A 26,146-nucleotide genomic window follows, 5' to 3' on the forward strand; every position below is an offset into this window, starting at 1 on the left:
TGCGGTGGCCCTGCCGCCAGGTGAACGCTGCCGGTGGGAGAGCACACACTTAGTGCGGCCAGCTGACCTTCACAGTCTGGGGGGAAATTTTAAAGGATTGTGGAGAAGAGGCCTTGAGACTTCAAGAGGAAGAAGAAAAAGGGGCCCAATGAAGCCTGAGCCTCCCAGGAGGTAGAACTGAGTTAATGAACAGGGCTGATTATCCAAGGTAATTATGTAAAAGAGAAGGCTAGGAGGAGTTCTAGATGGCTGCAACTTGGAGTTTACTCTGCCTAAGGTGAGTGTTTATGTTTCTGTGTTTTTGCTTCTCCGGCAAGGTTTTGTTTTGTTTTGTTTTTTTCTTCCCTGTTCCCTTCACCCAAGGCTCAGTGTGCAAAAGCAGCTCGCTCTGCGTGGCAGACCCCATTCTAATCCTTCTCTTTCCTTAGATTCTGAGCCCGGTTAGAATTAGCCTCCGCATCACGGGCTCCTGGGACCCTCCGCTCTATGCTCCTCGAGGAGGGAGCAGCTGTGTTCATCCCCCTACCCGCAAATGCCTCCGGTTCTTATTTGGCAGACACTCCCGCGGTGCTGCTGTCCAAAGACACACCTTCCCAGCCAGCCCAGTGGTCACGTCTCGCCCCAGCGATTCGGGAGAAGCAGTGGGAACTCTGAGCTCCCCGAATCGAGCCCGCTGCGCCTGGCATCTCCCTTCCCTTCCCCTTGACAAACGACCCAACCTCAATCATCCCTGCTCCTTCCGAACGCTAGTTTTGTTTACGGAGCAAACCGAGGCTTTGAGCAACCTGCGGTTGCACGGCTCTCCTTCGGCTTGGGGAGGGAGGGGTAGCGTTCACAGTTCTCCAGTGTGCCATAGACTGTTAGACCAGATCCTTCAGATCTAGAGGCACACGCAGTGGGTGACAGGAGAGTGCCCCCTCCCCCCGGGCGGGTGGGGGTGGGGAGAGGAGCAGGGACTCGGCTTGGAGAAGGAGGCAGGGAGGCAGCTGCAGTGCTGCGAGGGGTGCGTGCGCGTGTGCCCAGCTCGCCTGCCGTCTCCCGGCTCCGTCTGCGCTCCTCGGTGCGTGGGGCACGAGGGTCCGAGGGCCGGGAAGCCAGAGCAGCGCCTCTCGCCCAGGCCTCGCTTTCTCTGGACGCCCGGCAGTCCCCGGGGCTAGAGCGCACGGGGCGGGGCGCGAGACCCGGGCCGCGCTCCCCGCCCCCGCCTCTTGCGCCCTGCCTGGCTCCCTCTCCATTGAGTTTTCCTGCCTCGGGTGCCTATCAATGGTCCTGCTCGGGGATGCACACGCAGCTCGCGGCCGGAGGGGGGTAGCAGCCGCCGCCTCCAGGTGCAGGTTCTCTCCGGCCGCCGCCGCCACCCGCTGTCGCCGCGACTCGAGCCCCGGGCGCACTGAGGTCTTGGCCATGGGGCTGCGGAGGCTGCTGTTGCTGGCGTGAGAAGGGGCGACGGAGTTGTCGCGCTCGGGGGTCCCCAGCTGCCTGCATGGATGTCTTCAGCTTTGTGAAGATTGCAAAGCTTTCGAGGTAGGGGCTGCGCGGGTTCCGTTTGCACCCAGGGCCGCTGCCGCGGGCAACTTGGTGCCTTATTTTTCGGGAGGCTGGGTAGAGGCAAAAGCTGGAAAGCGCGACGGGGCTTAAGACAAACGAAGTGGCCGGGGGCTTCCACGTTCAACTTATTTCTCACTGGCTGCTGAGGCTTGTGTAGCGGCGGGTGTAGACCACACACAGAGAGGTACATACATGCCCTCACCAACACACCGACATTCACGACAGTTTGTTTTCCCTAAGGAAAAGCCCCAGCGGTGTTTGGGGTCCCATGTATAATTCAGGGCTAAGAGAAGATGGTTGTAATTGCTACTGCTAGGGAAACCCAGAAGTGCTTGGAGCTTGGGTGCCTGCCTTCCAAGCTGCAAAGACCAAAAGTGCCGCCTTCCCCCAACTCCTAAATTACACCTCCACACCTCCACAAAGTCAGCTCCTAGATTGACCAGGTGCTCCCAACGGTAACCTAGATGGCGAAGTCATGTAGATAGAAGAGAAAGACTTTCAGCCTTTTTTTTTTTGGGGGGGGGGTAACTATATTCTTAAGCCTCGAAAGATTTAGAAATTTTCTTCTAAGTGGCCATGTTGTTAAAACAGTAGCTAAAACTAAATCATCGATTCAGACATTTTTGGGTAGTACTGATAAAAGAGGAACATTTCCACGCTTGGGCCGCCTAGGTGTTGCCTGGCCAGAGCACTCCTCCAGGTCTTCTGCCCTGCTTATGCTTCCAAAGTCTTCGTTTGAGCCACAGAGTAAGGTTTGTGCTGCTTGCTATGTGGCATTAATTGGGAAGAGCCCAATAGGAGTGGTCTTAGAAAACCATGCCCAACCTTCTCTGCCCCTGGAGCTCTTTATAGCAGCTACCACCAGGACGTAGGAGGTAGACAGTTGGGTTTTTCCAGGATGTAGCTTAAAAACTTACTTGCAATATGGACAGAATAATCCCAGGTTTTCCTTCAGTCCTGAGTGTCAGAGTGAGATGTGTTGATTGCATCAGGCAGGGATGAGCAGCTTCCAATAGTCAGAGGTAGAAACGTATGTTGACTTTGCTTTATTAAATTACATTAGACCACTTCAGAAAGGTTCTGTTTGGATGTTGCCATTCTCTCCGACATCTACAGGTCTTTGTTCTGCCTGCCCATCTCCACCTTCCCTTTCTACTAACATGGGTCAGTCTTCATGCCACTAGCAGATTTCCCCAGGCAGAAAGGCCCAGTGCAGCTTACTCTAAGTAGACTGGAGATACGCAGTTGATGGGTAAATACCTGTGTCTTAGAGCAGCTCAGGAAGAGGTGTTGTCCTGCAGATCAGAAGACTGATGTGTTAAGCAGTGGATGATTGTGGTGTGGCCAATTGTTTGCTTTCAAGCTGATCTCATAGAGGGCCATTGCTTCACACCACTATTCTATTAACTTCCTGCATGCTTCTGCCTAGGGCTAGTTTCTAAACAGCTGTCAAATATTGAACCATGGTTGGGAAGCAGCTGTGTGCAAGTTTAGAGGCTAAGTGGTACCCTCCGTGTGATGGACAGAGATACTGCTAAAGGGAAAGGGAAGTTCAACCAATAGTATAGTTCAAAGTAACCAGGATACTTTTTGGTGGCCTCAGATGCTAAAAACAGTTTAACAAAACATCTAGAGCCTCGATTTAGTCCTTAAACTTAGGAACTTTGGAGAGGACAGTGTCATGTGTCAGTGAAAAGATGTTTCATATTCTTTTTACTAAATTCTAGGATGCCTACATGATATTCACAAATCTGAGTTTTTGCAAAACTCAAGCAAGGCTGTGGGGAGAGTGGTATCTTATTTTAAAGAGAGTTTAAAATTTAGTAAATGAGTGTGAGTTTCACTTTCTATCCTTAATGTGATCCAGTAGAGTGTTTATTCTAAAGACAGAAGGTGCAAATGTTCTGAGCTGATGTGCCGATTAAGAAATCTTCCATCCATAGAATTCTTCTTTTTCTTTAGTGTGAGCCCGAGGATGGTCCCCGTGCTGAGATAGAAGTACCTTTAGAGGGTCATCAGCATGTAAAAACACATGTTTGCAGTTGCTTGTTTCTGCCTTGGGAGGAAGAAAGTCTTGTATGTGTTTTAAACACTGTTACAGAAAGCAAGTTCTTTTCTCAAAGGTGAAGTATGAAAGTGCTTATACTGCAGGATTTTCCTGATTTCAGAATGGATAATCTTCCTAAAGGATTTAGCTTTGATCAGCATGGTTACTTCAGTGCTTAAAATTCTCTTGGTTTAGAGGCAAACACATGTAGTTACCCTGGGTACCTGGCCTTACCTTTGGTTCCTACAAACTTGAGCTTCTAAATGTTAATTCAGAAGGCATATCTTGGAAGTGATATTTGCTTAGTGTCCTATCTGTGAGTAAAGACAGTGTAATTACAGAGAATTCCAAGAGAATATTATTCGACACTGGAATAAATAAACTGCATATTTTGACTTTTTAGAGTGTCTACATTTAACTATTCGTTTCCAGAATCTATACCCTTTTAATCGTGGGAAAAATCAGAATTGACAGTGCCCCTCAATAACCCAGTACCATTAAAAAAAAATTGCTGCCAAGTGTTGGAATTGCTGGTAAGTAGTTGGCACCCTTTACATCATCAGTTAGAGTTATGACCCTTGATTGCATCCTTCGTGGGTGGCACAGTGTGTCATGGTTCTATCTGAAGATGGTTTTTCCCGTTCTTCTAATTTTCTGGTTCTTAAACTGCTTGATAGTTTACATGCAGTTTTACTTCACTGTTTCCTTGGTAACAGTTCTATATTATTTTCCATCCTTGTAGATGAGAGCATTACAGATGATTGCCTTATAAACCAGTAATAGTATAAAAACAGGCATATATTTTTATTGTTACTGCTCTTTGTATTGACTATTTTATTTGTAAAGCAGATGCATTCTTTCAAATGTTTATAGAAGAATGCAGTCCAGTAGAAAAACATATGATTATGCCCCTTTTGCCAGAGGGAGATGATTTGAGATCCAAAACTCATAGGGATGTTATTAAATTGAGTGATATGTTCATAGATTAAGTCCCTGATTTGGCTTCTTTTCTTTAAGCAAAACGGTAGACTTGATGATAATGATTGAGTCCCCACTGTTGATATGATGATTTCTTATAGTAGTAGGTAAATTTGGGGAATGCTTTACTTTGCATTTTCTTATAGTTGCATGGGTTATTTTGTGGTATATAGCAGTGACTAATATCTAATATTAGAATGCTAATTTTCTTACAAGTATCTTATATTTGAGGAAAAATACAAAATACATATGTATAGTTTCCTTAGATTTTTATGTCAAGTCCATTTAGATACTACTAAACTTCTGTCTTTTACCTTTATCTTATTCAGAATTAAATATTTCCCAGGGAAAAGGGGAAGTTAAAGAAGTAATGCAAAAGGTCAGGGTTTTTCCCATATCCCCTATTTTTACTGAGTAATTGTATTAATATTGCTGATAATAGTGAGCTCTGGAGGCTAGCAATGAAAAAACCCCAAAGACTCTGGATTTGAATTTTATTAAAAATGCTACTTGCTCATCTTCTGAATCCTTTCTAAGTTCTGCTGATTTTTGTGACTGTCAGGAGGTGAAATGATGAACAGTTTCATAACAGAACTAGATTCCTGTTTTAGGAATATTTAACTCTAGTTTCCCAAGAGTTGCTAGTTTGAAGCTGTGAAAGTCTAGTCGCTCGCAGTTCTGGGAAGAAGGCGTCTAGGTCAGGCTTTGTACCATTTCAAGCATCTCTCTCTCTCTCTCTTATTGTCTGGGGCAAGTGAGTTTCACCTTCTTGCTATCAGAATTTGGTACAGACTGACAGCTGCAGTGAAACTTACTTGTACTTTAAATGCATGACCTGGAAAGTCTCACTTTCTGCTTATGGTCCTTCCAGCTGTTCATTCTCCCCCTTTACATACACATACACTGTTCAACTTTAGTACTTTGTTATTTCATTTGAGGTTAACCGTGGAAGTTTAGCTGTAAGAGAATGTACATTATTGGTGAACTAGAAATGTATCTTTAAGGAATGAACTTGAAACCACTGGTTTCACACTTGGCTCAATAAGAAAACTCAAGACCGTTTAAAATCTTTGTTTAAGCATACCGTCCTGAAATCTACCACTGTTACCATCAAATGATCTTTAATCTTGAAAGCTAATCATAGCAGGAAAAGAAAATTATGAATAGGCTAAAACAGGGGTTGGCATACTGTGGCCTATGAGCCAAATCTGGCTTGCTGACTGTTATGGCATAGCCTGTGAGCAAAGAATGGTTTCTTTATTTTTAAATGGTTCAAAAATATCAAAAAAAGAATAATATGAAATTAAAATTTCAGTGTCCATAAATAAAGTTTTATTGGAACACATGTCCATTCATTTATGTATTATCTATGGCTGCATTTGCCTGACAACAGCAAAGTTGAATAGATGCCACAGAGACCTTATGGCCTACAAAGCCTAAAATATTTACTCTCTGGCTCTTTACAGAAAAAGTTAACTGACCCCTGGGTTAAACAATGCCTTTTTCCTGTTTTCTCTTCTTTATCATTAGCAGCACACATGTGGGCACACACATGTCAAATCGAGCATATTATAATAAATACTTGAATTCACTGACCCCTGGGTTAAACAATGCCTTTTCCTGTTTTCGCTTCTTTATCATTATCAGCACACATGCGGGCACACACGTCAAATTGAGCATATTATAATAAATACTTGAATTCACTAATGCACATTACCAGTTAATATAGACCTTATCTTTATTGAAACTTCTGATCTCAAATTACTTCTTGAACTGTTGGAAACTGACCATTAGAAGTGGACATAATTGTCCTACTAATTTGTTGCACTTGGAAAAATTATGCATGCTTATTCTTTGGTCACTAAGTTGACCTGATATTTTTGGGGAGCTGGAGAGTTGCTTGTTAAGGTGATGTTTGCCTTCCATAAATATCCAGTTCAAAATGTATGGAAAAAGAATGGGTGATACTACTTGTATAGCCTCAACCAATGTGTGCTGGTGAACTGATAATCAAGTCAACAGGAGAATGCCTAGTATTTCCTTACAGTACACTTGAGCCATCTGGTCCTAATGGCTAATGACCTTCACTAATCTGTTTCCAAATGGAAATAAAACCAGATAAGTGGATTTAGTTGTAGTCAGAGGAATGGAGGTAGGCTGTATCAATTTGGAGTTGAGTTTAATCTAACTTTCCTATGATTTGACTGAGAGCATTATAATGAGAAATCATAGACTACCTTTAGTTCTTTACAGCAAAAACATATATCAAAAGTATGCTGCCTTGCTTCTGAGTAATTTAGGTCATTATGTACTTAAGCTCTGAAAATTATCTTGAAGAAATCTAAGCCTTAGTTTTAGATAACAAAGTTAACATTCCCATTTTTTTTTTTTTCCTGGCAAAGAGATGAGAAGGGTTTTCTGCCAGAACTGTTCTTTCAGAAATATATTTTCAAGTATGGTTTACAGAATTTGGCATAAGATAAATAGTCTATACTAAATAATTAGTGAGTGAAGTCATATACAATTCATTCTAACATTTGTTGCAAACAAATTGTCATATTTGTTTAGCTGAACAATTACCATGTCAGTACTTCTTTATTGAATATAACGGAATACAATGTACATGTTAAAAGTAAATAGCCTGCTCTTGGACTTGGTCTCAGAGAATAAACTTTTATTTCTGTTTTTACATTTGAAGTATATATATATTATATATATAAAATATAATATATATATTTGGTGATTGATGGTTAAAAAGTCATCAACTTGTATTTCCAAGGAGTCTCTGTTTTACTGCTTTAAGCTCAATAAGCAAAGTTATGATGATATTGAAATGGGTTTTTATAGATGTCAGTAAGTTTTTATTTTAGAAAGTCTTTTTTGAAAGCTAGGAAAACACAATCATTTCTATGAAAGAAATGTTTCCAAAGTTTGAAAATGAAAAGTAATTTCCCTGCAATTACAATTTACTATAGGGTTTTAATTTTTATTTTGGTTATTTTTTATAGGCTTCACAAGTTTTATGAGATTTGCTTAATTGAAAATAAGAACATGATTACCTGACAAAGATGAGGTTCAAAGAAAGCAGTAGGCAAAAGTTCATAAAATTAATGGTAAAATTTTCCTAATGAATGTAGGAATGAGTGTATTTTTCTATTGAACTGGCACAGTTATTTATCTGGTCAGAGACTGGTGTGGGGGAGAACACGCGGCCATCTGGCTGATTCAAGGCTGTTGTATTGATTCAACATTGGATAACATACTGACCATGGTGATTTTACAATGGTTCCTGTAACTGGAGTCCTGGATATTTGTCTCTTTTGAAGTTCACGATCCAAGTCACCGGTCTTTACCCTAGTACAGGAGCAGTTAGCAGTCTCAGCTATACAGTGGTGGAGTCTGGAATTAGTTTTGGTGTAAATCCCAAACATGCCCAACTGAATTGTGGCTCAGGGCGATGTCCTGCTTCATGGCCTAGGGCCAGGGCTGGCAAACTTAACCCATCTGATGTGTTTACTTATTTTAGAAAGCTTTATGACCATTTTTATAAATAAAGTTTTATTTAAACACAGCCATGCCCTTTTGTTTGTATACTGTGGCTGCTCTTGGGAGAGTTGGATAGCTGTGACAGAAACCACATGGCTTGCAAAGCCTAAAATATTTACTCTCTGCCCTTTACATGGGTATTTTACTGTTCTTCTTTGATCTCTCTGCCCAGTACTCAAATTTCCCTTTGGGGCAGTCTGGGTGTCAGCCTTCTTTACTAGCAGGGGGAAGGATGGATATGGTTGGAGATTCACCCTGAACACAGTCACCCTTGCCAGCCCCGCTCTGGGGGACTTAAACTGTCAGCACTTACAATACCACTTGTAGGTTAACTTAGAAGCTTTGTAAAGTGCAAATTGGATCCTCCCTGTCCCCTCCGTCTACATACTTTTGAGGGGAAAATCCATATTCTTTATCCTTACCCTTTTGGGTTTGGCCTGATTCACTTGGTTCCTTTGAGAACTGTATTTCTCGGGCTGGGCGCGGTGGCTCACGCCTGTAATCCCAACACTTTGGGAGGCCGAGGTGGGCGGATCACAAGGTCAGGAGATCGAGACCATCCTGGCTAACACGGTCAAACCCCGTCTCTACTAAAAATACAAAAAAATTAGCCGGGCGTGGTGGCGGGCGCTTGTAGTCTCAGCTACTCGGGAGGCTGAGGCAGGAGAATAGCTTGAATCTGGGAGGCGAAGCTTGCAGTGAGCTGAGATTGCGCCACTGTGCTTCCAACCTGGGCAACAGAACGAGACTCTGTCTCAAAAAAAAAAAGAAAAGAAAAAGAGAACCATATTTCTCTGAACTTGTTATTCCTCCTTTCCAGCCTTAACTTCCTACTCAACACCAAACACACACGTGTATACACACACATACAGAGACACACACACACACACATCTACCCCTAACCATGTTGAATTTTTTAGAAGTCCTAAAAAGTGCCACACCCTGAGCCTTTGCATAAACTCTTCATTTTGTCTGGAACAATCTTTATCTTGCCTCCTTTACACCTGAAAAATTCCTATCTGTCTTTTATATTTCAGCTTTTAATCTAAGGTTGTTCCATGTCACCTTCTCCAACCTCCCAATCCTGGGTTAAATAGCTCGACTGACATCTTTTATTAGCGAAGATAATTTCACTGCTTTAACAGATCAATCCCTCAATTTTTGTGGCCCATCTCTTGTTTGCTTGATACACAAAACAGGCATTCCTGATGGTGTGGGGGAGCTCTGATATGCTCAGCCATTCTGAGAACCTGTAAGATAGGACTATCTCATCTTCAGTATGCTATCGAAGGTTTCCTGCACATCAGTGTTCAGCTGACAGATGAGGGGAGAGAATGGTAGAAGATTGGGTGACAGGTTTTTAAGGGCTATGCCCAGAATCAAAGTATACCATTCTACCCTCATTCCATTAGGCAGAACTCTGACCCTATGTAACTGTGAGGCAAGCTGGGAAGTTTAGTGCCACTGTGTACCCTATCTGTGCTGGACATGTCATGCCCTGCTCTTTTCACAACATTTCTTCATTGTGTGGTAGATTGTAATTTTGTTCCCAATTCTTAAATCTTCCCTGAATCCAAGCCTTTTCCATGTGACATTATAGTTCTACTTCCTAGAGGTAGAGGGTACCTCTTTGCCCCATTGCTGTTGGGCTTGGCCAAGTAACTTGCTTTGGCCAGTGGAATATGGACAGAAGTCACAGGGTATCTGTTTTGGTACAAGTTTTTGGTAGGAGAATGCCTTTAAGGTATTGTACGTTTCTAAAAAAGAATGTAAAAAAGCAAAAAGCTCTTAACATTGCTATATGAAGAACTGCCTAGTTTAACCTGTTGGTCCTAGAAGCTAGATTCACATGGACCAGCACCATCAGGCAAACCTGTGAGCATGAAAACAGATGCTTATTCTTGTATGACACTGTGTTATGCAGCATTGTTGTGGCAATGGCTGACTGGTATAGATGGTATTATAATTGAGTCCAGTTTTGATCTGTGTCTCATTTATGAACTCTTCAAGGGCAAATCCCCTGGTATTAAACCTCCTTGGTTTATAGTAGATTTAAGGATACCTTGTTTCATTGCACTCTGGTTTATTGGTGCTTTATAGATACTGCACTTTCTACAAATTGAAGGTTTGTGCCAACTCCACATCAAGCAATCTGTCAGCACCATTTTTTCAACAGCATGTGCTCATTTCGTGTTTCTGTGTCATATTTTTCATTATTATTATTATATCTGTTATGGTGATGTGTGATCAGTAATCTTTGATGTTACTATTGGAATTGTTTGATGTTACTATTGCAATTGTTTTGGGCTGTCATGAACCACACATATAAGATGGCAAACTTAATTGATAAATGTTGTGTGTGTTCTGACTGCTGTACCAACTAGCCATTCCCTCATGTCTCTCCCTTTCCTCAGGCTCCCCTGTTCCTTGAGACATAACAATATTGAAATCAGGCCAATTAATAACCCTACAGTAGCCTGCAAGTGTTCAAGTTAAAGGAAGAGTTGTACATCTCTCACTTTAAATTGAAAGCCAGAAATAATTAAGTTTGGTACGGAAGGCATGTTGAAAGCTGAGATAGGCCAAAAACTAGACCTCTTGTGCCAAACAGTTCGCCAAACTGTGACTACAAAGGAAAAGCTCTTGAAGGAAATTAAAAGTGCTACTCCAGGAAACACACAAACGATAAGAAAGTGAAACAGCCTTATTACTGATATGGAGAAAGTTTGAGTGGTCTGGATAGAAGATCAAACCAGCCACAACATTCCGTTAAGCCAAAGCCTAATCCAGAGCAAGACTCTTAACTCTCTTAAATTCTGCGAAGGCTGAGAAAAGTGAGGAAGCTGCAGATAAAACGTTTGAAGCTAGCAGGGATTAGTTTGTGAGGCTTAAGGAAAGATGCTGTCTCCATAACATGAAAGTACAAGGTAAAGCGGCAAGTGCTAATGGAAAAGCTGCAGCAAATTATCCAGAAGACCTAGCTAAGATCACTGATGAAGATGACTACACTAAACCGCAGATTTTCAGTGTAGACTAACCTTCAATTGGAAGAAGATGCCATCTAGGACTTTCATAGCTAGAGAAGAAAAGTCAATGCCTGGCTTCAAAGCTTGAAAGGACAGGCTGACTCTCTTTTTTGGAGTTAATGCAGCTGGCGACTTTAAGTTAAGGCTAATGCTCATTTGCCATTCCACAACTTCTAGAGCCCTTAAGAATTATGCTAACTCTACTCTGCTTGTGCTCTAGGAATGGAACCACAAAGCCTGGATGACAGTACATCTGTTTACAGCATGGTTTACTGAATATTTTAAGCACACTGTTGAGACTTATATTCAGGAAAAATAGATTCCTTTCAAAATATTACTGCCCATTGACAATGTACCTGGTCACCCAAGTGCTCTGAGGGAGATGTACAAGGAGACTAATATTGTTTTCATGCCCGTTAACACAAAATTTGTTCTGCAGCCCAGTGATCAATGAGTAATTTTGACTTCCAAGTCTCATTATTTAAGGAATTTGGCTGATCTGAAGGTAGTGAGTTATCTCAATTGATTGTTCACAGTCAGTTAGAGATTGAATTTCTTGTTCTACTCTTTTCCACATTCTCAGTACTACACTTGACTAGTTTTAAAAAAAGAGATATATTTTGTATGGTTATAGCTGCTATAGAGAGTGATTCCTCTGATGAATTTGGGCAAAGTAAATGGCAAACCTTCTGGAAAGGATTCACCATTCTAGATGCCATTAAGAACATTGATGACTTATGGGAGGATGTCAAAATGTCATTAACAGGAGTTTAGAAGAAGTTGATTCCAACCCTCATAGATGGCTTTGAGAGGTTCAAGACTTCAGTGCAGGAAGTAACTGCAGATGTTGTGGAAATAGCAAGAGAGCTAGACTTAGTGGAGCCTTAAGATGGGACTGAATTGCCGCAATCTCATCATCAAACTTGAATGGATTAAGGGTTGCTTCTTATGGATGAGCAAATAAAGTGGTTTCTTGAGATAGATTCTACTCCTGGTGAAGGTGCTGTGAGCATTGTTGAAATAAAAACAATGAATTTAGAATATGACACAAACTTAGTTGATAAAGAAGCAGCAGGGTGTGAGAGGATTGACTCCAATTTTGAAAGAAGTTCTGTGAGTAAAATACTATCAAACAGCATCACATGCTACAGAGAAATCTTTCATGAAAGAGTCAGTCAACACAGCAAACTTCATTGTTGTCTTATTTTGAAACATTGCCACAGCCACCCCAGCCTTCAGCAACCACCACCTTGATGAGTCAGCATCCATCAACATGGAGGCAAGACCCTCCACCAGCAGAAATATGACGACTCACTAAAGGCTTAGATGATCATTAGCATATTTTTAACAATAAAGTATTTATAAACTAAGGTATGCCATTGTTCTTTTAGACATAATGCTATTTCACACTTAATAAACTACAATATAGTATAAATGTAACTTTTATATGCACTGGGAAACCAAAAAAATTATGTGACTCATTTTATTGCAATATTAGCTTTATTGCAGTAGTCTGGAACCAAACCTGCAATATCTCTGAGGTATGTCTGTACTGAGTAAATATTTGGCGAATTGTGAATGAATCAGAGTGAAACCATACTGTATTCCACATGATGTCCAATACTGATTATCACAGGTATGCCTGCTTCTGTACGTCATTCATCAGATTGCACTGCTCCTTCCGATTTTTAGGATCTGCTGTCACTGCTGATTTATTGTAGCCATTTTACCCTTGGCAGTGAACTGTTCCCTACCTCTACAGCTTGGGACCCAGCCCTATATCTGGGCCCATATCCTCTCATTCTCGTATTTCTTTTCTTTCCTTTCCTTCTAGTCCTGAAAGTCCTAGTCTTCTCTAATTATATACATTTTGTCTTTAGTGCCAGGAGAGAATTGTAGATAATATTGTAAAATAGATATAAAGTTTAAAGAAAATAGAAGGCTAAGTGATATCATTGCTGATAGAATTTCAAGTATTTATGTATCTTTTCTTTATATGCTCTATATTTTAAAAACTTTTTACGATAAAAGCATCCTACTTTTACAATCAGAAAAATCTTTAAGTATTGTAAAATATTACTGTTCAGGAAAAATAGATTCCTTTCAAAATATTACTGCCCATTGACAATGTACCTGGTCACCCAAGTGCTCTGAGGGAGATGTACAAAGAGACTAATATTGTTTTCATGCCAGTTAAGTATTGTAAAATACTTAAATATTTGATCATGGGAGTTTTTTTATACTTAATGTGATATTAAAGAACCTATGATCAGGTATTTTGCATACAGTATATTGGGAAAATGAAGTTTTAAAAAACCCAAAAGTGAAATACTATACTAAGTGAAAGGCATTGTCTTGCTAAAATATATATATTTGACCCAGAGTTAGTTTTTTATCGCTCTTTTGAAATGTCACACTGAATGAACAAATTTTAAGAAAAGGGCCTATGAGAATTTTGCTTAAAAATTAAAATATAGCACTACCTGTGAAAAAGCAGAAGGAAATGCTCTATGGAGTGATATAGAAAGATCTCTGAATACGTTTATTGTTAAGTGAAAATAGTAAGGTTAAAAAAAACTTTAAAAAGATGAGGGAGATGGAACATATATTTTTTCTTGTATTTGCATCACAATGGCTGGAAGGATACACAAAAAATAACATTACTTAACTCTGTAAAGTGGTAGTTCAGAGGGTTATACGTGAGGGGGTGGGGTGCACAAGGACATGAGTGGTTCTCCATGTCCCATCTACACTTTACATTTTTATTTTATTTTTATTTGAAATGGTGGGTATATATTACCAAGTAAAAAATAAACTTGAATTTCAAAAATGCTAAAAGAATAACCATATAAATTCAAGAGTCCAAACAACAATATCCACAAATTCTTCAAATATTTTTTCTGATTGTAAAAGTGGATACCTTTATTGTAAAAAGTTCTGAATATATAGAATGTATTTAAAAAGATATATAAATGTTTGAAATTCTATCAGCAATGAGATCGTTAGCCTTCTATTTTCTTTAAATTTTATAACTGTTTTACAGTTAACATAAATACACTATTCTATCCTTAAGTTTTTACAAAATATTTTGTTCCCATATCATTAAACCTTCTTTATAAATATAAAATTAACAGCTACATGTACCACGATTTACTTAATGATTTCCTATTTATTAACATTGAGGTTGTTTCCAGTGTTTTGCTTTGGATAACAATGTGATGAATATGTTTACAGCTAAGTCTTTGGATTTCATGGGCAGATTTTTTTCTTATGGCATCAAAAATAGTATACTGAGTATTTCAAAACCCATAAAAGACAGGAGGTAATCTGAGATGCCATTAAAATGATATTCAAATTTTATGCTAAAATTGTGGGCATTCTAGTTCCTCAAAGGTATTGAACTTGACAAGCAGCATTTGTCACAGGAGTTAACCCAGTGACAAGACTTGAAGTACTTAGTGATGGGGAAAGCTTGAGTAATGGTAGTTGGAACTTCAGGTGGATTTGAGCAAGTTGGGCCTCTGTCTTCTTATTTGTAAAATAGGAAAATTATGCAATATTCCCTCTGAAGTTAATTATATTTCAACAATTCCATTGTTTTACCATATAATGGGCAAATTCAAAGAAATTCATCTATGAGAACCTAGATTAAAATAGTTTGCAACACTATGCAGCTGTAAGAATAAAGAACAAGGAAACACTTTATGCAGTGATATATAATGGTCTCCAGGACATATTTATTAAGTGAAAATAGTAAGACTCACAAAAGTAAATATGCTTATATTTACATAAAAATACTGAAAGGATCTATAAGAAACTAATAAAAATGGTATCAGAATGGGGGGGTAATGAAGAAGAAAATCTATTTAGACAACAGAAAGAAGTTTGGGTAAATATGATTTCCTAAAATGTGATAAAATGTTGAAAAATCAACCCCGGAGAAAATATAAATTGCTAACTCAGACAGTTTTAACTTGAATTTCTTAGTTTTCTCTATTTTGAATGAATGAAACATAAGAGATAGTTTAATATATTAAAGATATGTATTATACAAGTATAATAGAAATTTCAGATCTATAAAATTTTAATGATAACTTTTACTAGCAAATTAAGATAAAGCTGGAAGATCGTATCATTATAAAAATGATCTGTTACTTTTTGCATAGAATTTAGTATTCTGAAGCAATTTTTTTTTTCATTTTTAATATCAAGATAAGGTTTTCTCTGATGGGGATATAAACAGAAAAATATTTTTATGTTCACCACCTTTCAACCAGGAAAGCTTATACATTTTTTTTTTTTTTTTTTTTTGAGACGGAGTCTCGCTCTGTTGCCCAGGCCGGACTGCGGACTGCAGTGGCGCAATCTCGGCTCACTGCAAGCTCCGCTTCCCGGGTTCACGCCATTCTCCTGCCTCAGCCTCCCGAGTAGATGGGACTACAGGCACCCGCCACCGCGCCCGGCTAATTTTTTTTTGTATTTTTAGTAGAGACGGGGTTTCACCTTGTTAGCCAGGATGGTCTCGATCTCCTGACCTCATGATCCACCCGCCTCGGCCTCCCAAAGTGCTGGGATTACAGGCGTGAGCCACCGCGAGCTTATACATTTTATAACTTAAATTTTATTAATTGTTGACAGCAATCTTCAAGATCTTACCCTCTGATGATCTTCTGTTCACTAAAGGGGACAACTTGATGTTTTTTAGAGAACCACATTCCAGCGATGTATTGATGGATGTTTCCTTTAGGATTGTAATTTGATTATGATGCCATTAGTTCATAATTTGGCTTTCCGGTTGAGGTCATGTTGACAGGCTGAAGAATAGAGTGTTTAAGTAAGCTGATGAAACACGCATAGGAGGCAATAAAGCATCTAATCCTTCTCTACTGGTTAGTGCCTTACTTTATCTCCCTTTCATTCCGATGTGGTCATGTAAACTCCATAAACTTTCATTTATTTAGAATATAGTCATGTGTTAAAAAAGGCTAGCTATTATAGGTATATGTGCTAACATTTTTTAAAGATCATCTGAATGCAAGAACATATATGCATAACACTATACTGGACATAATTCATAGTTTTATTGCTGGCCTACAAGTCATTTCAGATTTTTTTCTGTGTCCTAGAGTTGGCAAACCATAGCCTGTGGGCCAAATTCAGTCGGTTTCCTGTGTTTGTGTTAAGCTAAGAATGGTTTTTACATTTTTAAATGGTTCCCAAAAATCAGGAAGAGAATAATATTTCATGACACATGAAAATTATATGAAATTCAAATGTCACTGTCCAGAAATAAAGTTGTCTTTGGAACATAGCCATCCCCATTCATTTATGTATTGTCTACAGTTAAAACAGTAGAACTGAGTGGTTGCTACAGAGACCATATGGCCTACAAAGCCTGAAATATCTGCCCTTTGCAGAAAGTTTTCTGGCCCTGGTCCTATGTCATCAAATATCATCAAGTGATTCTTGTTGGAGACAGAGGGAATTACAAATGAATATGTAGATACAGATTTAGATATATACATATTTTTACCTTTAGATAATACAACTTTGCACTTACAGATGTTTCTCTGTATAAATGTTCCCACTGTAAAGACTTCTTTCTCTTCTCAAATAGTCATTAAACAATTTGAATAGGAATTGTGTTTTAAATATTTATATTCTCCTGCCATGCTCACTTTCTTTCCCACAAAGGAGATGTAATAGCCCACACTTGCTATGCAGGAAATGATTAAAAGCAAACTGATAATAAATTGCGTTCCCTTTTGTCCACTGGTTGCTCTGCTGAGACAAGTGGATCCTTTGAAGGGAAGTGTGGAAACCACACTGGAAAAGTTGGCTTACTTCAGAGGAGAGACGAAATAGAAGGGGATGTAGCCTCCTAGCCCTGCCCTTCCAGGTTATCCAGCTGCTACCTGCTTCCGTGGGAGTGGATGTCAACACACTACTACAACATGGGTCATTTATTTAGAGACACCTATACTTAGTAGGACATGTATACCCTAAATAGCTACTATGTTTTACGTGAAAAATGTCATCCTCAGTATACTTTCTTACTTTGAGTTTATCAGGACATTTTAGCTGCAAGTAAATCAATGCTTGATTAAAGGGGCTTAAACAAAATATTCCTAGATATATGTGATTCCTGGATTCGGCTTCATGGACTCAGTGAAGTCAACAACAATCCAGGTGTTTTCTCTCTTCCTGCTCCATCAGCCTCAGGCTTTGTCACCTCATGGGTGTAATGTGGTTGCCACAGCTTCAGGCATCATGTCATCATATGACTGGGTTCAGAGGCATGAAGCAGGGGTGGCCAGAGCACTGTGAGCATTCTCTTTGTGAGGCTCTTTCTTTTAATCCTGGAGGGACATCTTTTCTAGAAGCTAGAATTTTCCCTTAGAGAATCTCATTGCTCAAAGTGGGTCACATGGTCACACCTAGCAAAGGGCAATGAAATGGTCTTCTCTGGCTCACCTTCACAGAGGCCCAAACACTCAGAATCAGGGTTCAGCAGCATGGAGGAAGAAGGGAAGAGGAGTTGAGAAAGTAATCAACCTGCTGTTCTTCTTTAATAATTTCATTTTTATTCAGAGATACACTTGGAGAACAACAACAAGGCTATTGATTGCAGAAGAAAAACATCCATCTGAATATCATACCCGTATTCTGGTAGAAATATATTATCCTTATTGCTTTATGACCAAATTGAAAGTATATTCACTAAAATGCTGTCAGCAGCAAGTAATAGAAAACACAACAAAAAATACATTAAAGAGGAGGACAATGTTTTTATCTCACATAAGAAATCCAGAGGGCCACTTTAGGGTTGGTAAACTCGATTCAAGGTGTCTGGGTTTTGACATCTTTTTGATGTGCCATGTCAGCACGTTGGCTGAACCTCTTATCATTGTAGAATGGCTGCAATAGTTCCAGGTAGCATATCCTCACAAAAAAAAAAAAAAAAAAAAAAAAAAAAAGGACCAAAGGTAAGGAGACGAAAGCAAGGTATGTTTTGTCCATGCCTCTTTTTTTGAGAGGGTGGAGAATTTTCTCAGAAACTTCATAGCAGAGTTCCCCAATCTTTCATTGTCCAGAATTGCACCATGTTCCATGTATTTCCTAAACCTACCCAGTGAGAGGAATTGACATGGCTAGTTTAGACTTGCAGACATCAGCAAACTGTGATCTGCAAGCAAATCCAGCCCACCACCTGTTTTTTTAAAATAAAGTTTTATTAGAACACAGCCATCCCTATTCATCTACATATAAATTTATGGATTTATGGCTGCTTTTGCAATAAAATTACTGAGTTGAGTAGTTGCAAGTGAGACTATATGGCACATAAAGCTTAAACTATTTACTATCTGGCCCTTTACAGAAAAAGTTTGCCAACCTCTGTTTAAGAGTCCCAGTGATTCTCAGCTGGAGGACAGACGTTGTGAAATGCCCTTGGGGTGTTTTAATTGTTTATAATGATGGGGTGGAGGTCCTATTGGCATATAGTGGGAAGGGGCCAGAGATTCTAAACATCCTAACGTGAGTAAAACAGTTTTACATTATGAAAAGTTGTCCCTCTCAAAATAGTAGTGGTCCCTCATTGACAAACACTGGATGCTATCAATTAGGGTCTATTTCTAGTGTGAGAGAGGGCTGCAGCTCTCCCTACCTCTGTTCCACTGCCAGCCCAGCAAATGGCCATCTGATACCTCTGCAAAATTGAGACTCTGGGAGGAAAGAAGGAGGGGAAATGACTGTTGGTTAGGCAACCAAGAGCGCTGGCTCTGGAGAGCAGAGAGGATTTGCTGAATTGATATCTCAAAAGGGGTGGTTATATGGGTACCTAATAATTACGGACTGATTCATCGGCTGGTGACAGTGGTTGCCGTAATGGGGAACAGCTCAAAATGCTGAAGTTTTACACAAGTGGGAAATGTGCTTCTCTGTGTTCCATATACTGCAGAATTTGAGTTCACAAGAACTGAAAAGGTCTTTTCATGCTTTTCTGTAATGTACAAATTATCTTCAACAAGCATGTACTAATCGTGTGATTGAAAGTAAGTTTATAAAGATAATACACAATTAAGTAATTGAAAATAATTTTCTTGGTGTTTATGAGGAAACCAATTAAATTCTTAGACAACTTTGTTGTTCGGGTATCATGTTGAAATCATGCATTTACAATCATGCATTTCTTCTTCCTAAGCATTTTCTGACTGATTGATTAAGGTATAATATAGTTCATAATAAAAATGTCTCAGCTACTGTTTTTTCCATATCTACAGCCATAACCACAATAAATGAAGGCATGAGAATAGGTATGAGATATATACTGAATATTCACACAAATGGGCAGGTATAGATGCTCACATGTTAAATGAATCAAATGTTTGATGATTGTAGTACTCTGATTTATTTGACCAAAACCCACAGTAAGAAATTTGTCTTGCATTGTTACCCAGTCCACATATATAACATGTGTGTGTGCATGCACCCACATGCACAATTAAAACAGAAGTTCCACAAAATATTGAGTTTGATAAAACCTGATTGTTTCATTTTATCCTTTTTTATATTCTGCTTATTATAGCCTATTGAAGTGGTTTCAGGACCCACATCCCCCAGTAATTTGCTGCCCATGTTTGAAAAACACGAGGGTTGTGGATGTGTGATTTGTTCCCCTTCTGGGAACTCTTCCCTCTTCTTCCTGGAACATCACTTCTTTTTTTTCCTTTGGGGACTTCTCCTTCTCCAGGTCAACCATACCTCATATACCCCAGTGGCTACTGATCATCAGACTTCAGGACCCAGGCTGAGCCAGTGAGAGCTTGGCCCCAGCATTTTATGAACTTGAGTTGACAAAGAAAGGCTTTGTTCCTCTATGGTGACAAGCCTTTAGGAATGTAAGTCCAGAGCTCCCCGTAACCACAGGTGTCAGTTCCAGGGACCTCTGCCCAAGAGCTAGCATCTACTGAGGCGCTGGGTGAAAGGAGCGTTTGGGGTTCTGGATCCAGCCCTGTCAGAAGCCAGTATACCTTGGTGGGTTTACTTGTACATGCTGTTTTATTTTTTCTTAATTTATTCCAAGATGGTCTCTGTCCTGAAAGGGCTCTAAGTCATATACATTAACCAGTACACAAATGGTTAGCCCTGGCGATGGCCATAGATTGATTCCATGATAGGATTTGATTGGCAAAGAATCTTCTCTTGCATCTGGAGTGGCCTAAGCTTTTTGAACGACACAGCCATTGCTTGGCTTAGTGAGTCAAAAGGTGTGAGTGTATTACAAGCTTATAGAAGATAAACTTACTGTGTATGTATTTGTGTGTTTGTGTGTATACACTTGCTCATGTGTGTGTAGACAGAGAATGGGGAAATAAAAATCAGAAGAAAGGAGGGGGAAAAAGGAAACGTAGACAGGGAGAGATTTGTTGACAAAAATTGATATTATCATTACCCAAAAATTCCCTTTCCTCCCAAATTCTGCCTGTATTCTTTTTAGCATCTGCAGAGATTTGACTCCTAAGACTTGAGAGTGTATTCCAATTGTAAATAAACAATTTATTGTTTGAATTGGAGGTTATCAGACTGGGCTGCAAGATGAGGATGTAGGTAGAGGTTCCCAGTAGTTGTAAACATCCTACCAGAAAAAAATCTTTGTCTCTCACTTGCCTAAATGAGTACAATTGACACTGTAGACACATTGGATCTTTGAGTCTCTAAAGTACCTTGTCCAAACTTCTGTCCTTACACCAGTAACACTTCTTATTTTTTAAGACTGTTCGGTGATGCATAATATTCATGTAAAAAATCATAGATGTAGACTCAATGGATTTCCACAAACTGAATATATCTGTGACACAACTACCAAGTTCAAGAACTAGAATACAACTTGAACTCCAGTGGTCCTTCTTGGAGCTCTTCCTGAAGTTAATCACTATCCTCTTGATTTCTATCCTCTGTCTTTGAACATAATATCAATGGAATCATATAGATGTGTCTTTTTTTCACTTAAGTCATGTTTATTAGACACATCTTTGTGTGTAGTTGTATTTCATTTATTCTCATTGCTGTATAGTATTCTACTGTATGAAGATCCCCAATCTATTCATCCATTCTACTGCTTATGTTAAACCGAGTTGCTCTGATCATTCTCATGCCTGTTTTTTGGTGATCGTATTTGTTTCTACTGAGCATATTCCTAGGAGTAGAATTGTTAGCTCTGTAATTGTCTTTGATAGTCACTCCTATTTTTCTCTCCCCTCACTGGTTTGTAAATTCACTGTTATCTAACCCCTACATTTGGCAGAGAAGCTGTTGCATAGGAAGTACACGCCTTCTTGAACAGTCCTGAAAAGGTTTTTGTGCTAGACCTATAATATTTAAGCTGGAGCAGGATACAAGTGCTCAGGCAGGCTATTGGCCAGCCCATTTGATTTAACAAGTTAAGGTAAAGCTGCTGTACCAAAACCACTCCAAAATGTGTAATGTCTGCAATACCAAAATCCCTTATGTCCTGCTCTTGTAAGGTCTCCTCCAAGGAGTGGCACAGGGACCTAAATTTAGTCTTCAGCATGCAGCTTCAAAGACATGCATACAGCAGGCTGAGTTTGAAAGGCAGTGTGGAGTGGATGAGAAGGCTCACATGTCACTTCTGCTCACATCCCTTAGTGAGAACCTGTTCTGAGGCTAGATCTGACCGCAAGAGGCTAGGAATTGTAATTATGGGTGCCGTGAATAAGAGAAACTGGTCTGGTGACTAGCTCATCAGTCTCTGCCACAGAGATCTCCTTGGAGTTCCAAGAGCTTTCTTTAAATGCTCCTTTGAGAACTTGTACCTTCTCAGTGTTGTGAGCTCCCCTGGGGGTGGGTAAAGTCTGGATCTTAAGGACTATTGCCGTTTTACTATGACAGTTGCTCTAGGCTTCTGCAATATGTCTCCATGTTCTATATTCTTTTATAGAAGTCTGGCAGTAGAATATATCTCTTTTATGTTGGAGAAGATTTGGAAGATAGATATAGTGAGTTCTGATAGAATGTGACATATGCATTCTTAAAATTATGGCGCTATGCAAAATCATGCAATGAAAATCCAGGCTTACAGGGACAATGGGTGAGAGACACAACACTTAAATTACTCAAAAACTTTGTCAGTGACACATGTTTAAAAGATAAGAAGCTAATAAAAATGAGAGCACACTTCTTCACAAATTGAATGGTTAAGAAATATGGTAAGTACTACAATACCTATGGTGCTTTCCCTTGAAAAGCCCTGAGGTTTGCTTGTGGAAGTGGGTGTGGAAAGATTTGCAGCTTGTGACTGGGAAGGGCTAGAAAGAGGGTTATCTAAACCTCCGAGGGGAAGTTGTAACACCAGATGGGAACAGGCGTGGCTCCTAACACATGCTGTGAACTGAGGTAGCTGTAGATGTTGAGGGGTGTGTGTGTGTGTGTGTGTGTGTGTGTGTATGTGCCTGTGTGTGCGTGCGTGTATTCCTATGCAGTTCTGTTCTGGTGAGTATGGTTTTCTGAGTTCATAGTGCTTCTCCCAGAGGAAATTGTTCATAAGCAAACACAAACTTTGCATCGTATTCAAACTGTTCCCTAATGTATTAATTCAATTGAAATAAATTCACATTTATAAAACAAGTGTTATAGCAGAACTACCCATACCTGGATAGTGCAAGTGGTTACAGGTAGACACACTGTGGCATCTCTTTGTTGCAATAAAGTTCTGATTAGTCCATACCTGCTTATATGTGGATATGTTAGAACCATGGTTTTGACCACTATTATTCTCAAACCAGGTAATCTACTTCTAGGTAATTAAGAACTGACCGTAGTTTGGAATCTACTGTTGCTGGAGTAATGTGTTGATTTTGTTCTGTTTCAGGGGAGTTCCTTTGTATTTTCCGTGTAACATTTTCTCCTCATTGGTAATCAACACAACTCATAACTAACCCTTAATTCAGTGGTTCTTCTGTGGCTTTTACTCCTTTAATATATATGAAGATTGCTCTGTTTTCCTAATACTGCCCCAAGATATAATTATCTTCTTTCAGAGGAAGGCAGAAGGGTATCACATTCTTTAGAATATCCCTGTGTCAAAATAAGTCATAATTTCTGGTACAAAATAGATCAGTTTTATATTTCATTATTTGGATTGACTGTGCAATGATGTTCAGGGCTTAGAATATTAGTGTTATTATGAGTACTGGTAATAGCAATGCTCTTTGTATTAGTAATCACCAATGATATTAGAAATGTTAGTATAATAAGGGTATTACTAATATGGTTATTAATATTAATATTAGCATTAATATTGTTACTTAATTCTACAATTTTACTAACACTACTTCATGCTATTTATATTAGTTATTACTTTGCTAGTTTCAGAACGTATAATATTACCGCTAATCACTACCTCCTTCTGTTGCTGCTGCTGCTGCTACTACTACTATTACTGCTGCTGCTGCTGTTTCCACTACCATGAGTACCTCAACTGTATTAAGGGCTTATTGTGTCCCAAGAACTTTTTTTTTTTTTGAGACAGTGTCTTGCTCTGTTACCGAGGCTAGAGTGCAGTGGCACGATCTTAGCTCACTGCAACCTCCACCTCCCAGGCTCAAGCCATTCTCCCGCCTCAGCCTTCCATGTAGCTGGGACCACAGGTGAGCACCACCACACTGGGCTAATTTTTGTATTTTTAGTAGAGATGGGGTTTTACCATGTTGGCCAGGCTAGTCTCCAATGCCGGGCCTTAAGTGATCTGCCTGCCTTGGCCTCCAAATGTGCTGGGATTACAGGCATGAGCCACTGCACCCAGCCTGTCCCAAGAACTCGATGAGCATTTTATAAACAATAGCTCAGATATTTAATCAGCATAACAACCCAGTGGGATAGGTTCTATTGTTATTCCGGTTTTATAGAGGTAGAGGACACTGAGGGTCAGAAAAGATAAGTAACTAACTTATCCAAGGAAGAAGCAGAGTTAGGATTTGACCATTGCTCCGAAGTCCCTACTTGTAACCACTTTCTATACTGTAGAAATTAACGCCACTAGGATATGCTGTAATTATCTGCCTCCTATGATCACTGGGATCTGCATTTTAAAATAATAATGCCATCTCTCTTACGATAAGAATAATTTGTTTTGTTTTTTTATATATATTTCTAGAGCTATAGAATTAAATTCAAATAGTCTCATTTCCGATAATGTGAGTATTAATGGAAGTGGTTTATCTCCTCTCTTAAAACAGAGATTTTTATCACTACTATCAAAGGAAATAGATCAATAGGTATTTCAAAAGTCCCAAGTAGCCCTGTTTTTCTACATTGCCATCCTATTACATATCGCTTTCCTTCATTTGGACCCATACGGCCTTTGTACATTTTGTTTCTGCATTAAATGAGTGTGATCTACTAAAAAATAAAAAAGAAAAGAAAAAACAGTGGCTGCCATGAGATGTCAGAGAATGTAAAAAAGTCTGCATCGTGGAAGTTAATATTGAATTGCAGGTAAAACTAGATATTTTCCTTCTGGAATAATTGTTGGAGGGTCTGATTAATAATTTTCAGTGGTGTGTATAATTAACTCTAGGGTGGGAACAGGTTTCTCATATTTAACAATGTTTTCCAGTTGGTAACAATGTACCACTCAATTAATTGAGATGGAGTGTGTGTTCCACTTTGTACCACACAATAGCAAGCTTAAGAAAGTTGGTGATGGTTTCTAAGAATAAAGTAAAGAGCCTTATAAGAATAGAGGCTTTAATATTACTGCAGCACCTTCTTCTTGGAACAGCTGTGGTTGCATGAGGTGTATTAGTTGGGAGACCAGATTGCCCACTCAGAATGCAATAGTAAATTGGATCCAGATTGTTCTATAAGCAGATGCATTTTTTTATTGGTAACTTGCTTCCTGTTTATCATTTTCAGTGACATTTACAATTAGTGCCCTTGAAACTGAGGACCACAAGTGCCAGGGAGTGTTAGTTTATGTAGCGGTGAGTCACAGTGGTGATAACATATGCTTTCAGATTTACGCAGCATCTGGGGTTTAGTCCCAGGCAAATCAAGGAAGAACATCTGGGAAGACTCTTCTGTTTCTACCCCTAGCAGGTGGCATGTCCCCTTTCCTGTGGTGAACATGGCATTTTCAGGTCAGGGAGATTCTTTAATGGCCAAACATACACTCTGCTTATGTTGCAAAATGGTGAAATTTGACATGTTTCTTTTCCCTCTGATTTCAAATGTTATGGGCCCTAGAACTCATCCAGCTGTTACAGTCTTCACCTTTGTGAATCTCTCCACTACTAAAATATCCAGATTGACTGTATTAAATAAGAAGTTTCCTTCATCTTGTAAATATCTCACTAGTAACATCTCTTGAGTCCTCCTCCTTATGTCACCTCATTAAAAAAAAGGAGGAAGGAGAGAAAAGAGGGCACAATTTTTATGTACAGGTGAAAATGAAATAGATGGTTGCCAGAAGATGGTTTCCAAATGATAAATGGAGCCATTAGGTTCCAATTAGGGACTTGAAACCTCCCCAGTACGTGGGTAGCCTGCAACAGAGATATCCAGGGTCTAATGATATTTGTTGGTGAGATTTTTCCAGGAGTTTGAGCAAGATAAACTATTCCAATTATTTATTCTCCTTTTCTGGAGCTGTGTTTCTTCTCATGTTTCCCATTCTTTGGGCCTGCTTTGGGGGTTTTGTTTGTTTCTTTGTTTGTTTTTATTTTTTTGCTTATAAGCCCAGTTTTTTTTATCATTCTTGATAGTCATAATTTTTCCTGACTGATTTTTTTTATTCCAATGACCCTTTGTAAAAAAAAAAAAAAAAAAAAAAAAAATAGAGTGGCTCTTGAGACCTTGAGGTTTTGAAGTTTGGTTTTGATAGCAGTCTTCATTCTAAGTTCCCTTACCTAGGTGAACTGCAGCCATTAGGGTTTTCATTCAGTGCCAGGCAGTGTTTACACTTGCCAACGTGCTATTCCTT

General features: G+C 39.4%; 1 protein-coding gene across 11 annotated transcripts in view; it reads left to right on the plus strand.

The window, feature by feature from the left end:
* The window catches only part of FRMPD4 (FERM and PDZ domain containing 4), a 902,085-nt gene that overhangs the window by 315,050 nt on the left and 560,889 nt on the right, over positions 1-26,146 (plus strand). For 3 of the 11 annotated variants that reach the window (NM_001368399.3, XM_017029983.2, XM_047442680.1), the window contains exon 1: positions 1-277. This exon is cut by the window's left edge and continues 74 nt beyond it. The exons of 4 other annotated variants lie outside the window; for them this stretch is intronic. In NM_001368399.3, coding sequence (NP_001355328.1) covers positions 246-277 — 32 coding nt within the window. In that variant the 5' untranslated portion in view covers positions 1-245. Of the gene's footprint in view, positions 278-977; positions 1,525-26,146 lie in introns of those variants that run through there. 4 more of the 11 variants (NM_001368401.1, NM_001368396.3, NM_001368397.1 and 1 more) reach the window with 2 other exon arrangements.

Source organism: Homo sapiens, chromosome X (genome assembly GCF_000001405.40).
Source record: "Homo sapiens chromosome X, GRCh38.p14 Primary Assembly".
NCBI lineage: Eukaryota > Metazoa > Chordata > Mammalia > Primates > Hominidae > Homo > Homo sapiens.